This window comes from Homo sapiens, chromosome 10 (assembly GCF_000001405.40).
Source record: "Homo sapiens chromosome 10, GRCh38.p14 Primary Assembly".
Taxonomy (NCBI): domain Eukaryota; kingdom Metazoa; phylum Chordata; class Mammalia; order Primates; family Hominidae; genus Homo; species Homo sapiens.
In genome coordinates, this window is record NC_000010.11 from 60,604,044 (window position 1) to 60,619,500 (window position 15,457).

Consider the following 15,457-nt stretch of genomic DNA (forward strand, 5'->3'; position numbering starts at 1 on the left):
GGCTCCAAAGAATTCAGCTAGAACAAATCCTGACCATAAAGTTTTAAATGATCTTGTATTCATTCAGAGATGACTTTCAAGGTCAAGAGGACAAAGGCACGGTAGGTTCCGAGTCACTGATTTATGTCAAAGAGTGCACAATAAGTAAAAATAAGCAGTGGAAAGAATGCAAAGCTACATGTATGTTTTCTTAATAAGATAGTAGCAAAAGCAGTATTGTGACATCATCATGTTTTTATAAGAATTCTTTTATTTGCTTCAAGGTCTAATTCAATACCTACTGCCTTTGAGGTGGAGCTCACCTTTTAATGTAGCAAGATCAAACCAAAATGCCTTCAACAAATAAAGTTTCTCTGGAAAAGGCATTTCTACAAATAAAAACTTCCCAAAAGATGTAAACAAACAATATCAAACACAAAAGTTGACAAAAAGAAAACACACATAAAAGAAAATATTGCCTCTAATTTGATTGCTGGCTTGTGACAAAGCTTGTGAACTCCTCTCCTGGTTGCATAGCAACGAATCTAAGCAGCAGTTCTAGCCTGTAAGAAATTTCCATGCCAGAGCTGTGGAAATAGAAGCTAGCTACTCAGTATATTTTTCAAGGTTACCTAAATTTGCAAAAAGTAAAAAAGGAAAATAGAATAATGCTTTGGGGGTTTCCAGAACCAAAGATGTGGAAGGAATTTCTCCAATGCCCATCTATAACATTTTCAATGAGTGGCCACCACCTATGCTCAGAGGAGATAACTCCCATATAGGAAAGAAAGGCTCCAACACTCATAGATAGTGTGCTTTATTATTGAAACAAGTAAGCTCCAAACAACTAAATCACCAAGTTCAAGAGCCAGAAGGTAGAAAATGGACCTTCTCTCCATAAGCACCAACATTGTAGTCCACTTGCTGTGCTGCTCCCTAGATGGCTATTGAACAGCAGAATGAGATTTAAGTTTTGCTGCCTTAAATTTTCCAGTAAACACATGATTAGAGCTTAATCTTTTAGTATATTCCACCATTCTTGTAAATGGCTGATTGCAGTCCCGTTCAAGTCCCTAAAATGGGCAATTCGTTTCCATAGAGCCTCATTTTAAAAGCTTGAGCCTGGTAAACGTGATCAGTAAACTGAACTGGCATCAGCACAACTGATAGCCACAGACCAGCTTTCAGTCTCTCTCCTTTTAGGTTCTACGGGAAACACATAAATGACACACATGACAAGATGTGATCTGTCTACAGACTCAAATGCACTTAAAGAAGGGAAAGCAGGCCAGGTGCAGTGGCTCACACCTGTAAATCCCAGTACTTTGGGAGGCTGAGGAAGGAGGATCACTTGAGGCAGGGAGTTTGAGACCGGCCTAGGCAACATGACAAAATCCCATCTCTACAAAAATAAAATAAAAATATAAAGAAATAAATAAATAAAAAGGAAAATAGAGACACACACAGAAGGATTCATAAGCATTTATGAACTAGTTTTAGTTTCTCTATACTTAGTTATAGATTCTATCCATTAGTTACAGATTTTATCCATTCATGTTTAAAGTCCAGGCCACCAAGGAACAAAGCTTGCTTGCTTCTTACAAGGAAACTATGTGAATGGGAGCATGTGGTCTCTTAAAGGAGTTGAGTCAAATAATGGGATGATGGAAAAATCAATGGACAAAGGCCTGTGCTGTATTCATAGGCAGGTCAATATGTGGCTTTGTGCAAGTCATGTAAGCTGAGATTCAGTTTGTTTATCTATAAACTTGTATTAATAAGAGCTTCTCTGCTCATTTCATAAGGATGATTTTTAAAAATCAAATAATTTCAAGTAAAGTGACAGAAAGCATTTACAAACTTCTGAATACTCTTTATGACTTCATGCAAAAGTTCCTGCCTTCTAAAGTCATGTTGTAGGAGTGCCATATTGGTACTGACAATTTCTAGAGCTTCAAATTATCAGTCGAAAGTGGCAAATTTTAATTTATTTCTGTCTATAAAGAAGTTCTTGGAAAAAAATAAAAATGTAGCTTTATTATTAGACTTTAAGCCATCAGAAAATTTAGTGTTAGCAGTTGATGAGTAGCAATATTGACAATTAGAAAAGGAACATACAAATGAAAGGTAGTCAGTCTCTTCTCAGTTCCCTATACTTCCTGATTTTTAAAAATGATGCATTTCTTAGTTTTTCGATGCTGAATTAGAAAAATAATAAACACAGTTATAAATTTGGGTTGAGGAACATTTTCTTTTGGAACACAGTTAACAGTACAATACTAAAAATAATTTAAAAGTTTTTTATTAATCAAATTAATTGGTCTCATGAGATTTTTTTTTTAAAGTACACAGGATCCTTTCTAAAACATACATTTCTGTAGAGAGAAAAGTCTTCCCTCATTTGGTGATTAAAATATTATGTTTTCATTTTAAAAGTATGGCTTGTATATAAAAAGCACTTATATAGCTGTTGAATTAAAAGTGAAAGAAGAGTTAACAAGTTTTAGACACTGGGGAGTATGTCTAAGAGCTGATTAAGGTAAAACCTTGCTATGCTTGTACTCATCAACTGTAAGCCTTTGTTTGGCCACATTTGACATCATTGGAAAAAACTGTTGAGTTTACTTTAATAAGGTATCCTGGTAGGAAAGGCCAGTCTTTATCAGGGAGCATGGAATTCACAGAAGAGAGGAGTCTGAGAAGAAACACATTCCCTACCCAGCCGAGAAGTGGTTCCTTCTATGGCTGTAAGCCTTGACTTGCCACATTACTCATTTCAGCTTCCTGCACAATTTCAAAAGCATCCCCTATGTCATGATAAATGTTGTGTTGAAATCATCAACAGCTAAGTCTACTAGCAAAATGTGACTCTCACTGCTCCCCAGATCCGGCAGGAAGAACACTTGCACATAACAGATGTATGGAACACACCCAACAAGCTGTTGCATATTGAGTTCAAGTCTTATCTCATGCAGAGGTATCAAGGAAATGAGAGGGCTTAAACCTTCCTTTGAATTGGAACAGATAAAGGCCTATAAAGAAAAATAGTCTTTATGTAAGAAAAGGCTTATTTAATCAGCCTTCCTGTCCATATATATGCACTCATTGAACACAAGAACTTTAGAAAGCATTATCTTCCAGTCAAGATGAAGAGAACTCATATTTGCTCAGTGATGGCCTGTGCTATGCACCATACTGGGTGTTATAAACCATCCCATAAGGTAGGTATTATATCTATTTTGCAGATAGATAACCAGAGCTCAAAGAGGTAAAGTGTCTAGCCCAGGGACACACAGACAGTAAGGATTGGGACTAAAATTTGAGTCTGAATCAGTCTGACTTTCAGGCTCACCCACTTTACCTTACACCACATACTGCCTCCCTTTCTAATATAAAAAAAAAATTACTAACGGAGGCTGAATCCAGCCCAGAATACCTTAATCATTGCAAAAGGCTGCCTATCGAATCCTGGAAACTTTCCATTAAAGAGCAACATATTTACATGCCAGAAGGTTTTAGCATATGCTCTATCTATATCATTTCCAAGTACCTATCAGCATAGTGCTCCGGAATCCTGACAAGGCTGACATCTTAATTGCTGACTCTTTCCACAGAAGGTTATACATGCTTCAAATTATAGCTAGATATTCAAAACACTGGATCAAAGTTGAAATAAATAAGTGAAGCAAATAACTGTCACCAATATGTCTTTGCTGGTTAGAATGCAAATCTAGCAAATAAAAAACTATGGTGGGACATAGGAGGTAGGGTACAAGTCAGAGCACGCAGATGAGTAGCCAAGAGTGAGGCTGTACCCAAAAACCAGAGAATGGTCACAGAGAGAAGAAGCTTATGGCTGAGGGAGAAACCTACCTAATGTCGTTATCAGCCACAGTGACCTCCAGCTGATTGCCCTGAGAGTGACCAGCTGGGACCAGCACTTCAAATGTCATACCTGGAAATCCTTGACGAATTTTTCTGTTTTCCTTTATCCAGATGTATCAGCAGGCAGCATGGCCCTGGGTGGGGCATGATTTGGGGACTCACTGAAATCTGGGTTCAAACAGAGCTTTGCTATATACCAACTACTTTGAACCTCTGCTCCCCCATCCATAAATTGAAAGTAATCAAGCCAATTTCACAGAATCAGTAGAGAATCCAATGAGTTAACATCATATAGCACATAATGGCCACTCGGTAAATGTTAGCTCCTTTACTCTTGTTTTTTACTGCACCATTTGAAGTAATTAAATATCAGCAGACTGGCCATAAGCTCAAAATACAAACCACAATCAGCTACATCAGGAAGTCTTTTTCTCCTTTGTGAACCTAAGAATATATATATGTCCTACTTTTCTATGGCCTGAGAAGGAAGCATTTTTTATTGCAATAACGTCTTCAGTTGGGAGATACAGACTAAGTAGTGAGTGATATGCATTATACTTTATTGTGAAGAGAGAAGCATATCATTGTAGCTTAGAGAATACAGTATTTATCATGTCAAAGCTCCTCCCCCTGGGATGAATTAGCAGAGTAACTCCCACCAGAGGCTCAGCAGGCATCTGAGACTTTCTAGATCTCTAACTTACATCATTATATATTCTAAACAAATACACATGCACAATGTGAGTTTGTGTATGCAAACATATATATTTTACGTCTAGGAATATCCAGATTACATATGTTTAGTGATAGTACACAGGCTAGATAGACAAATAAAGATGTATTATTAAAGACCAAAGTAAGATTAACATCCTCAAATCCTGTTCCTCTATTTCGGATCCCACTGTTAGAATATCTTAAATGTGGAGTATGTGACATGTGAGTCAGGGAGATGGGCATAGGAAGAAACCTTGACCCTTTTGAAACTGAACTGTAAAGCATCTTTTCCTAGCTCCATCACCAAGTTCTTGTCTACTGCTTTACTATTATACTTTAACATTTTTTTAAGCCCTCATGATTTTCTATGTTTTAGCATCATCTTCTTAAAACCTGCTACCTGGAAAATGGGGTTAGAATGCCATCAATTGAAGAAAAGGAAAGAGGAAGGAATGACTGTATAGTAGTGGTGGTGATCATTGAAATTTATCAAACGTACTTGCCAAGAACTTTTTGAGAACAGTACATTCTCAGTTAATTATCCTAACAACCCAGTGAGATAGATACCTGTTATTAATTACCTTTAGAAATGAGAAAATTGAGGAATAAGGTGGTCTAGTAACTTCTTCATGATTCCTAATGAGTAACTAGCCAGCCAGACTCCAACCAAGTCATTGTCATTGCAGAGCTCTCACTCTGAATTACTAGGCTATACTGCCCTCCAGATGGAGGGAGCTTGTGATCAAGAGCTATTGCATTACCCAAGTTAGGACCACAACTTCCATCACAGAGATGAATATTGTAGAGTAAGAATTTACCTTAGAATCCCAGGGTGCGTTTAGATGTGACAATAGATGTAGATGTGACATGAATAAATCCATAAAAGGGTCTACCACAAAGGGGACTTCTTTTTTCCTTTTTTTTTTTCCTTGCCAACTATGGTAGATTCAAAAGGGGACTTCTATGAGAGTTACAAAACAGTGAGATAATATGACAGAATATGAGATAATATGACAGTGACATATTACACAATGCAGACTGCTTGAAAACCACTGCACTGCATCAAAGAAATAAGCATTCATGGATACCTTACCATATCATAACCCATAATTGCATCCAACAACATCTGTGCTAGACTGAAACACATTTATACTGGATGATCTCTTGCCTTAGAATTTAAAGCCTAACTTTAGCTTATCTTTCAGCCATATTTACCCCCCTAACAAAAATATGATCCTTAATTGTGCCTAACTATATTTTCTAAAGATTTACATATTAGAAAACAATTATACAGTTAACAGTTCCAGCACAGTTGGAAAACAATTGTTTACTAGATTTTTAAATTAAACTTTAAGGGTTAATCAGAATATAAAGAGAATTAGAAGGCAAAGGGAGTCTAGAAAAATATTCACCACCAAAATGATAAAGGAATAATAGTATTAATATATAAAAAGCTCATATAAATTAACAAGAAAAATACTAATACTCTAATAAAATAATACCCAAAGACATGTACAGACAATTCACAAAAGAAGTCATTAAATATTTACGAAGCATGAAAAAATATTCTATCCATTAGTAATCAAAGAAAGGCAAGGAGGGCCCCTTTTGTAGAAAGATTGCTTCCTGCCTGTAATCCCAGCACTTTGGGAGGCTGAGGTGAGCAGATCACCTGGGGTCAGGAGTTCAAGACCAGCCTGGCCAACATGGTGAAACCCTGTCTCTCTTAAAAATACCAAAAATTAGCTGGGTGTAGTGGTGGGCACCTGTAATCCCAGTTACTCAGGAGGCTGAGACAGGAGAATCGCTTGAACCTGGGAGGTGGAGACTGCAGTGAGCCGAGATTGTGCCATTGCACTACAGCCTGGGCAACGAGAGCGGAAAAAAAAAAAAAATGCTTCCCGAATAAAATCTTCATGGTTGGTCTCTAAATATTGTATTTTTCTAAATGAAACTTTACTAACTGCCAAAATCTTGAGTCTAATAACCAACCCAAACTTGAAGAGATCACTGTCATATTTTTAAGTCATTTTCCAGGGCAAATAATATCCTCACCACAGACTTGAGCAAAGCAAATTAAACCTGTAGGAAAAAAATAAATAAAATGGATGATTCTTCCACCTTCAGGAAGAATCAGATGTCTGCAAGAAAATACTGTGATAACAGACTTCGTTTCTGAAATCTTTAACAACTTAGAGTGGCTCTAGAAAACAGAGGGGCAATTGAAAAATTAGATTTTCTCAGGGGCTAAAGGATGCTAAACAGTATGCTTTGTGTCAGCATGAGATAAACAGCTTGTGGCTATGCATCTTTCGGTCTGCCAAACCAGAATTCTAAGCTAGTGGGCTCGAAGCTGGTGTCAGTTACTTGTAATGTGATAGCTAGATGTCAGTTAACTAAAGTGATCATTCATAAGATAATTTCTATATGAGTAAATTATATACTTTTATAACTATTCTTAATATTTTATTCTTCCATATGCAAATATTTGCATTTCTAACACATTTGTTAAAGGGCCTACAGTAACACTAGTCTCCTTAGAACAGAAACCAATACAAATACATCTTCCTCAAACATCACAGAAAGGTGTTTAGGGACCGATACTCCAAAATGAAAACAGGAGTCTTTTCCTCCTACAGAGCACACACCTTCAAGAAGGGCTCACTTGAATCAGCAGAGGAAGGACACACCTGGCCGCCCGCTGGCTCAGTTGTGAGGATAAATAAATGCCAGAGGATGCAGTCAGAGTGCTCGCACTTCTGAACCTAACAGAAGGCAGTCTCCCCACATACAGACCTGCAGGGCAGCCTCGCACTGGAATAGTGGTAGCCCTGACTTCTTCTGAGTGTAGAATGAAAACAAACTTTTGCAAGCAACCAAAATCACCCACCCACTTTTAGTCAGCCTCATTGTAACCCATACCCTTACACTGGGCATGAGTCAATTCTGACAGTTCTTAGAATTGTGTCATTGGGATTCAGACTTTGCCTGATATGCTGCAGCATTGTTCCTGATGACTCATATTCCACAGTTCAAAGACAAAAGAATTCTACAGATAGGCTCACACTTTCCTTCATCCTTTCTATTAAGTAAATCGAATGCCCTGACAGCACACCTATCTATAGATGTCAAGTCACATTTACAGGCATCTAAATCAAAGGCTTGCCTAGGCAAGTGTTTGGCATACAAGATCTAAAAAGTGACCTCGGTTTCTTAAATGTTGCCACGGGAGTCATATTCTATAGAGACACATTATCAAAGCAGTGGAGAAGTGGGGCGAAGAAATGGGGAAAGAATCAGATACTACACAAAATAAATGGTTTTCCTTTTATTTTTATTGACACTCTTATCTCATTCAATTCAGAATTCATCCAAACTACCTCTTCAATTTGTACCCTATGAAGTGTACACTGTCTCATTACCTAATCCCAGGAGGATTTTAATATTTTAGCTGAGTGAGGATATTCAATAACAGAGATTCTGAAAAAGGATTCTGCATTTTCCGCAGAGGCCCCAGACATTTTGCTGGCAAAGAGGGTTGGACCATTAAGTGACAGGAGCTGCAGGGGCTGAGTGGGTGCCAAGCAGCAAGTTATCTCTGTCGAGTTCAGAGCTCTCACATCTGAAATGGACATTCTTTGAAATTATGACAAGAAAGAAAGAAGGCAAACTGAGCAGACAGGACAGTCAGGGTTCCAAAGCACTGAGGCAGATGAGTATATACCAGATGGGTTAAAGGCCAAAAGAGATGCTCCCAAGATACCAAAAATGTAAAATAGAAGATACTTTTAAGTTGGGGATAAAAGGTATCAACTCTCACCTCTTTTTGCCTCACTCGGTATTTTGTTGTTGTTGTTGTTTTGTTGGTTTTTATTTCATTTTATTTTTTAGATGGAGTCTCGCTCTGTCTCCCAGGCTGGAGTGCAGTGGCGCGATCTCGGCTCACTGCAACCTCCGCCTCCCAGATTCAAGCAATTCTCCTGCCTCAGCCTCCCCAGTAGCTGGGATTACAGGCGCTTGCCACCATGCCCGGCTAATTTTTTGTATTTTTAGTAGAGATGGGGTTTCACCGTGTTAGCCAGGATGATCTCAATCTCCTGACCTCGTGATCCACCCGCCTTGGCTCACTCAGTTTTAATCACTCACCTAACTGAATTCCTGGTGGCGTTGGAGCCTCTAAAGAAATCATTTCAGCCTGGTATTCCCAGTAGTCTTTGTATCTTCTGGCATCACGGGCACAGAGTCAGAATTTCAGTAAAGACAGCATTTATACCATATATAAAAATTGCTACAGAAGGTAGCATAACCACACATTCATTTCAGAAGCTGTTTAAATGGCTGAAGGCTATAAATGAGGTTGGACTGTGCACAAATATGTGAGTAAAACAGAACAAGAAAGTCCTAAATCCATATATGAATAGTTGTTTCATTCTTGTAGAAGGTTTAAGATAAACTAAAATATTGCAATCTTGAGATATGACAGCCTATATTTTTGTTCTTCATCAGAGTATTGTTGAAATTCATGTTCCATTCATTCTAAAAATTGTATTAATTATTAACTTTACTAGATATAAATTTCTAAAACATAGAGAATGCTTTTGAGTAACCACAGAATCCTGGAAATATAGTAGGAATGGGAGAAATTGGGAGGATTTTATTTATCCAATTATATCAAATGAGTTTGGGATAAGACCTATAAAAGCCTATATTAGCTTTGAAATTATGAAGACCTTTATTTAACTATCTGAATAGCCACTAACTAGATCTATGCTCCTGATAAAGTTAGTTAACGTATGGCTCCATTTTTAATCTTTAAAGGATTAAGATAGTTTTACTTTTGCTCCTTAAAATTATTGAGAAAGTAAATACAATAAAAATGGAAAAATACTTTGATAGGTAGAACATATCATATGGCTAAGATAAAATTGTGTGCCTGACCCAGATAAATCTGACTTTAGCTTATTACTGGTGACACAGTTAATATTGACCAGCAACATTACAACATCCTGCTGGAACCCAGCTAGTATCATGATGAGCCTACTGAACCAATGTCAAAGTCTTACTAGACTACATTATCATTCTTAGGAGTCCTTCATGAAAAAAACCAGCATCACTCAGTCCTTTCACTGAACAAAAACAAAAAAAAAAATCATTTTAGGAAGACAATTCAGACCGGGTACCATGGCTCACGCCTGTAATCCCAGCACTTTGGGAGGTCGAAGCAGGCAGATCACCTGAGGTCAGGAGTTCGAGACCAGCCTGGCCAACCTGGCGAAACCCCATCTCTATGAAAAATACAAAAATTAGTTGGGCATGGTGGTGTGTGCCTATATTTCCAGCTACTTGGGAGACTGAGGCAGGAGAATTGTTTGAACCCGGGAGGCAGATGTTGCAGTGAGCTAAGATCATACCACTGCACTCCAGCCTGGGCAACAGAGCAAGACTCTGTCAAAAAAAAAGATAATTCAAGTGTACCACAGAATTGTGTAGCGAATATGTTACAGAAACAAAATAACTAAAAGACCATAGATAGAAAATAGAATTATAAGTTAATTAATAGTTAGTTTAATCATATGAAATAGCTGGTGTTAGACTATTTTTTACTTACCAAAATGGCAATTTCACAAAATTCAGCCTAGTAAAATATATACATATGAATGCGGAAGACATCTTAGGAAAAAATAATAATAATGTGAATTATATTGATATTTATTGAGCTCTTATTATGGCACCAAGTTAAACGTTTTGTTTCAATAAATTCTCACAATAAACTTATGAGGCAGATACTATTATTCATCTATTTCTATATGAAGAAAATGAAGCAAGGAGAACTGACATTCTAATGCAGTCTGTCCTAACCCTTACCTGACCCTGCTGGTTGAAAAGAATAGTGGATGGCATGAGCACATGGAAAGATGAATGGTGATGACTCCAGGAAGATGAGAGGCCAAGAGGGAGAGAGTTGAAGCATTTACACGTCACTATATAGGGGAAAGGTAGCCTGCATAGCCCACTGAGCAGAATATCCTTCAAGGTTAGACAGACATATCAGGTTACCATAGCTAAAGCTCTTTCACTATTAAAATAATTGAAGTGACTCTCCTTTTTCTAATTCCAGATCTAGAAGCAAACATCTGATCATAATTGGACTCCCATGTAGACTTTTCGGTTTAGCTAAATCAAACATTTAATTTTCATGGCATTATCAATGGAGAAATGGATGCTGTATCAGTCTCCAGGGGGTCTTGGTTACTCTGTACCTGCCATTAAATCAAGCCTCAAATGCACAGCTGAGAAGCAGATGTGAAACACAACTAATAGCACCAAGGAATTATCCTACCATGAGCACAAGTCCGGGTGACCAGGTTGCTCCACTAGGCGAGAGTATAAAAGCCTTCAAATTGTTCTCTAGTTAAATAAAAATAACAACAACAACAACAATAAACTGGTTTAAAAGGACCATCTCCTGTAAATAATTCATTCAACTCTATGTTTATAATTGTAAGAAGAAACTTGTCCACACAAAATAATATATTTGTTGAGTTTAGTGATAATTTTCATTACCTTTCTAGAGCTTCGTGAATAATCTGATCCAAAGCCACCCTAAAAAAGTAAAGAAACAAACATTTAGCAAACATGAAAGAATTCCATATATTTACCATGACGGTGATTTACACATGCACATTATTAATTGACTTATAAACATAGTAAGTTCCTTAAAAGGGGAGAACACAAAGTAAAATAGAGGAAATAAGATGAATTCTAGTTTAAAAAAAAAAAGACATCTGCAGGAAATGCTTAGATAACTACAAAATAAAGAAAAGCAGGGACACCAAATCAATAGCATCAATGGTTTAAAGAGAATTTTTAAAAATGAAATTGTGCCAGATACATTAAAAAAGTATGATCTTGAACTTGAAATGAATATGCCAATGAGATGCAACTGTAACAGTAATAATAAAGGTAATTTAAAATTTTTTTCCTCCGCATGAAAATGCTGGCATCAGAAAACATTTTCCCATATAACTTTCTTGCACAGCTATTATGAGAAATCCATTTTCTCCCAAACTTCATTACTGTAAATATTGTTTACCAAGGGTCAGAATAGCAAGGCTTGTAAAGCCAAAAGTCTGATTATGCAAGAGATGACATGGTTCCTATAATATTATTACAACCTCAAAATAGAAAACCAAGGATCTACTCTGACTACAGGAACTCCAAGATGAAGATTAAGGCTGACTTTCTGTTTTTACAAAATGCTAACTTTATTCCATCAGGGAAGAAATACCTTTAGCTCATTTCCTATCAGAATATAGTAATATGTGCAATATGCAAATTATTCCAACTGGTACTGAAGTTTAAATACGTAGAATGTAAAGAAAGGAACATTCTACTTTGAAGTTAACTCTAACTACACTTGTGTACATTTCATTCGACTCTATCAAAGGCTATTCAAATTGACACCATAAAAATTATTTCATCTTGTCAGCTTTAAAAAGCCCACTATCAAGTCATACAGAATTAAATCTGCAATTTCATGTTTCTATTTGAGCTTCCAATAAAGAAAAAAATAGAAGGAAATTAACATTTCTAAAACCTTAACTTTATTCCTGGTGTCTCAGCTACATTTTCTTATTTAATCTTCACAACTTCTAAAACAGTAAATGTAATAGCTTTGTATAATCATAAAAGCAATGCACATTCATTACAGAAAATGTGCCAAGCACAAAAAATGAAAATCAATCATAGTCCTACCATTAGAGGAAAGTTAATATTTTGTGTTGTTCTCTTTCAATACACACAGTCTCACATATACAGTGTTTTAAACAAGATTGAAATTATTTCACATATACAGTATATCTTGCCTTTTCCCCTTAAAATCATATCATTTTTCCACATTATAGTCTCAAAATGTGGTCTTGATAGTTGCATCCTAATCTACCTATTTACATGGCAAGATTTTTTCAAATACTTCCTAGTATTTATGATATACATTTTTGTCTAGCACATCTAACATTGTAATAATCTCCTTGCACAAAAATCTTGACTTTACATCTGCTGATTTCCTTAAGAGAAATTCGCCAAAATGGTATTGTTGAAGAAAAGGAACAAACTTTTTTCATGGCACTTGCGTATCATGTGCCCACCAAAAGGTCAAAATCTATAGATTGCTCATCAAAAGAACAATTCACAGTGTAGGCAAGTGCCCATTTCTCTAAACATTCACAAATATATCTTAGCATTTTCATAAAATGCTTTTTTATTTCATAGTGAAATGGTATGTACTTTTTATTCGAGTTATTTTTTCTTGTTATTACAATGAAGCAATTTTTACAATCTATTGCAGTTCTTCCCCTTTATGCCTTTGACTGTCTTTACTCAGGATGTTTGTGGGTTTCTATTGATTTATAAGAGCTCTTTAGAAATAAGGCTATTAATCATTTGTGTATCATAATTATATAAATATTTTCATTTGCTTTCCCAGTCCGTTATTTGCATTTAGGTTTGGTTTATAATGGTTTTGATGCACAGAAGTTTAAATTTTATGTAATGAAACATATCAATCATTTACTTGGGGATGTCTGCTCTGGGCTTCTATGCTTAGAAAGTTCTTCCTCAATCCAGCATCAATTAAATAGCTACTTATGCTTGTCCTCCCAGTCCCTATCACTATCTTTTACCCTTGGCTTTTTTTTTAACCCATGTGGACTTTATCATAGGTATAACGTGAGATGAGTACTTACTACAGTTTTTGACTACCACCTCTCACAGACTTTCCCCAGCACCACTGGTGAAATCATTTATTTCTTCCTGGGTCATCAGTGCAAAATTTGCTTTGAGGCACACCTGAGCTCTGATGTCAGTTTTTGACACCTGGGCAAGTCTAGCTTGTCAATATCTATCTTGCAGCCTTGTTGTAAGGATTAAACCAGATAATGTACAGAAATCCCTTCAGTGCCTAGCACAGCATAAGTGCTTGATTAAGCCAACCAGACACTAGATTCAGGGCTGTTCATTTCTCTTCCTCTGATCCATCTGTCAATTCTTGTGCTCACAGTATAAACTTTATAGAGCACACAACATTTGAGCAGAAAAGATACTCTGAACTTCTTTTTCAAAAAATGTTCTTGGCTATTTCTACCTGTTTGTTCTTTACACAGGCCCAACTCACTTTTCATTACAGTTATTCTTCAGATGCTCTTTTCCTGCAATTCTCTCTCTCATTTTCTTTTTTGCACATCTTATTACATAGGCCAGAATTTCCAAAACAATGTTTAAAAGTAATAGTAAACACAGATATTCTAGTCTTTTAACTGATTAAAAGAGCAAAGCTTCTAGAGGCTCATAATTGAGTTTGATGTTGACTATGGGCTTAAGACAGGTAGTCTTTATAACATTGTGGAAGCATCCCTCAGTTCTTTATTTTATGATATTAAATTTTTTTATCTCCTTCTCACAGAGGAAACTGATTTTTAAAGCAGTAATATGAGTTGCCCAAAGTCATGCAGCCAGTACATGGTGGGGCCTGAATGCACACCCACGTTATCTGGTTCCAGTGTCTATTTTCCATTGCAACCATGCCACCATGCTATAATGTAGTCAGTCTCCAACCCAGTTATATGCTTTGTCCAAAATTTATATATAGCCAAAAAGAATTGTTGTTTAGACCTTATAAAACGTCTTCTAATAAAAGTAAAGCAATAAAGCATGGCTAGTTTATTAGCTTACCTAAAGAAATGTAGGTCACTCATTATTATCTGTAGAAATATTTTAATATTCATCAATATTTCTATGGGAAAGCAAATTAGTAGGAGACACCAGAGACACAGGTGGGACTTCTCCTTAGTCATCCTCTAAGCAGAGAGAATAAAAAACTCTCATAGCTTTGGCCACTGGAGGTACAAACACTGAAGCAGAAAAGAGTAGGACTTTGAAGCAAAAGAGAAACTCTTGGAGGAAAAGGGTTGAGTTAGCAGGTAAGAAGGAGATGGTGGTAAACAGCAAGGTAGAAGGAGAAAACCAGAGTGAAATGTCTCTGTGGCACCCCCTGGCCTTCTCCTTCTTTCTCATACACCCATTAGGGTTGAAGGTGTCTGTCAGAGCAAATGCCAAGTATAAATAAGATTTGGCCCATCCGCTTTCCTTTTCATGACCACCAGCCAAACTCTGATCCAAATGTTTCTCCTCTACAGCTCACCACATTATGGAAGGGCAAGTTTGGCTCCTATTCACCTGACCCTAAATAAATACATGTCTTTCTGTGCTACTCTAGGACAATTTAACTTTAGCAACTGTTGAAAAATTGACAGGAAATTAAAACCAGAAATAAGAAAAAAAATGTCCAGTATTAGAAAGCTTCATAATCAAAGTTGACCCTATAGTGGTTCCTAGAATAAAATTACCCAGGCCATCCTCTTTCTTTAGGTTAGTTCTGCCCTCTTCTGGAAGAGCTCCTTCACCCCCAGGCTTTCTCCCATCTCTCTAACAGGAACCTCAGATCCTGCCCCTCCCAAACCTCTCTGTACCGCCAAAACATATAGATCCTACCCTCTTTTCCTTCCCCATGCCCAGGCCCACTCCCAAAGAGTCTTGAGTCTATCTTGCTAAGACCTCATCTGATAACCAAGTCTTGAAAAACACACCCACACCCACCTTTTCTGATAACCAGCTGCACACCAAGACCCTGTTCCTCCCTAACCCTGCCTCCAATCTAAGTTCCTCTTCCCAGATCTCATTCTGCCAAGCAGGTCAAAATCATATGCTATGAGGTAAAGTGATGTGCTTAAGTAGAATCTGAATAAACAGAATTAAACTAATTATAATTAAATTTAGTGGAATACAATTTAAATAGAAAATATCTCTTTTGCTTTGCCCTTTT

The 15,457-nt window shown here is 36.8% G+C and overlaps 1 protein-coding gene and 1 long non-coding RNA gene across 2 annotated transcripts in view; both read right to left on the minus strand.

Moving 5' to 3' along the window:
* The window catches only part of LOC124902430 (uncharacterized), a 33,828-nt gene extending 25,352 nt beyond the window's left edge, over positions 1-8,476 (minus strand). The window contains exon 1 of the long non-coding RNA XR_007062150.1: positions 5,397-8,476. This is a non-coding gene — a long non-coding RNA (uncharacterized LOC124902430). The remainder of the gene's footprint in view (positions 1-5,396) is intronic.
* ANK3 (ankyrin 3) overlaps positions 1-15,457 on the minus strand; it is a 707,231-nt gene that overhangs the window by 577,746 nt on the left and 114,028 nt on the right. Inside the window, exon 2 of the mRNA NM_001204403.2 lies at positions 11,143-11,181. Within this exon, the coding sequence (NP_001191332.1) occupies positions 11,143-11,181 (39 nt within the window). The remainder of the gene's footprint in view (positions 1-11,142; positions 11,182-15,457) is intronic.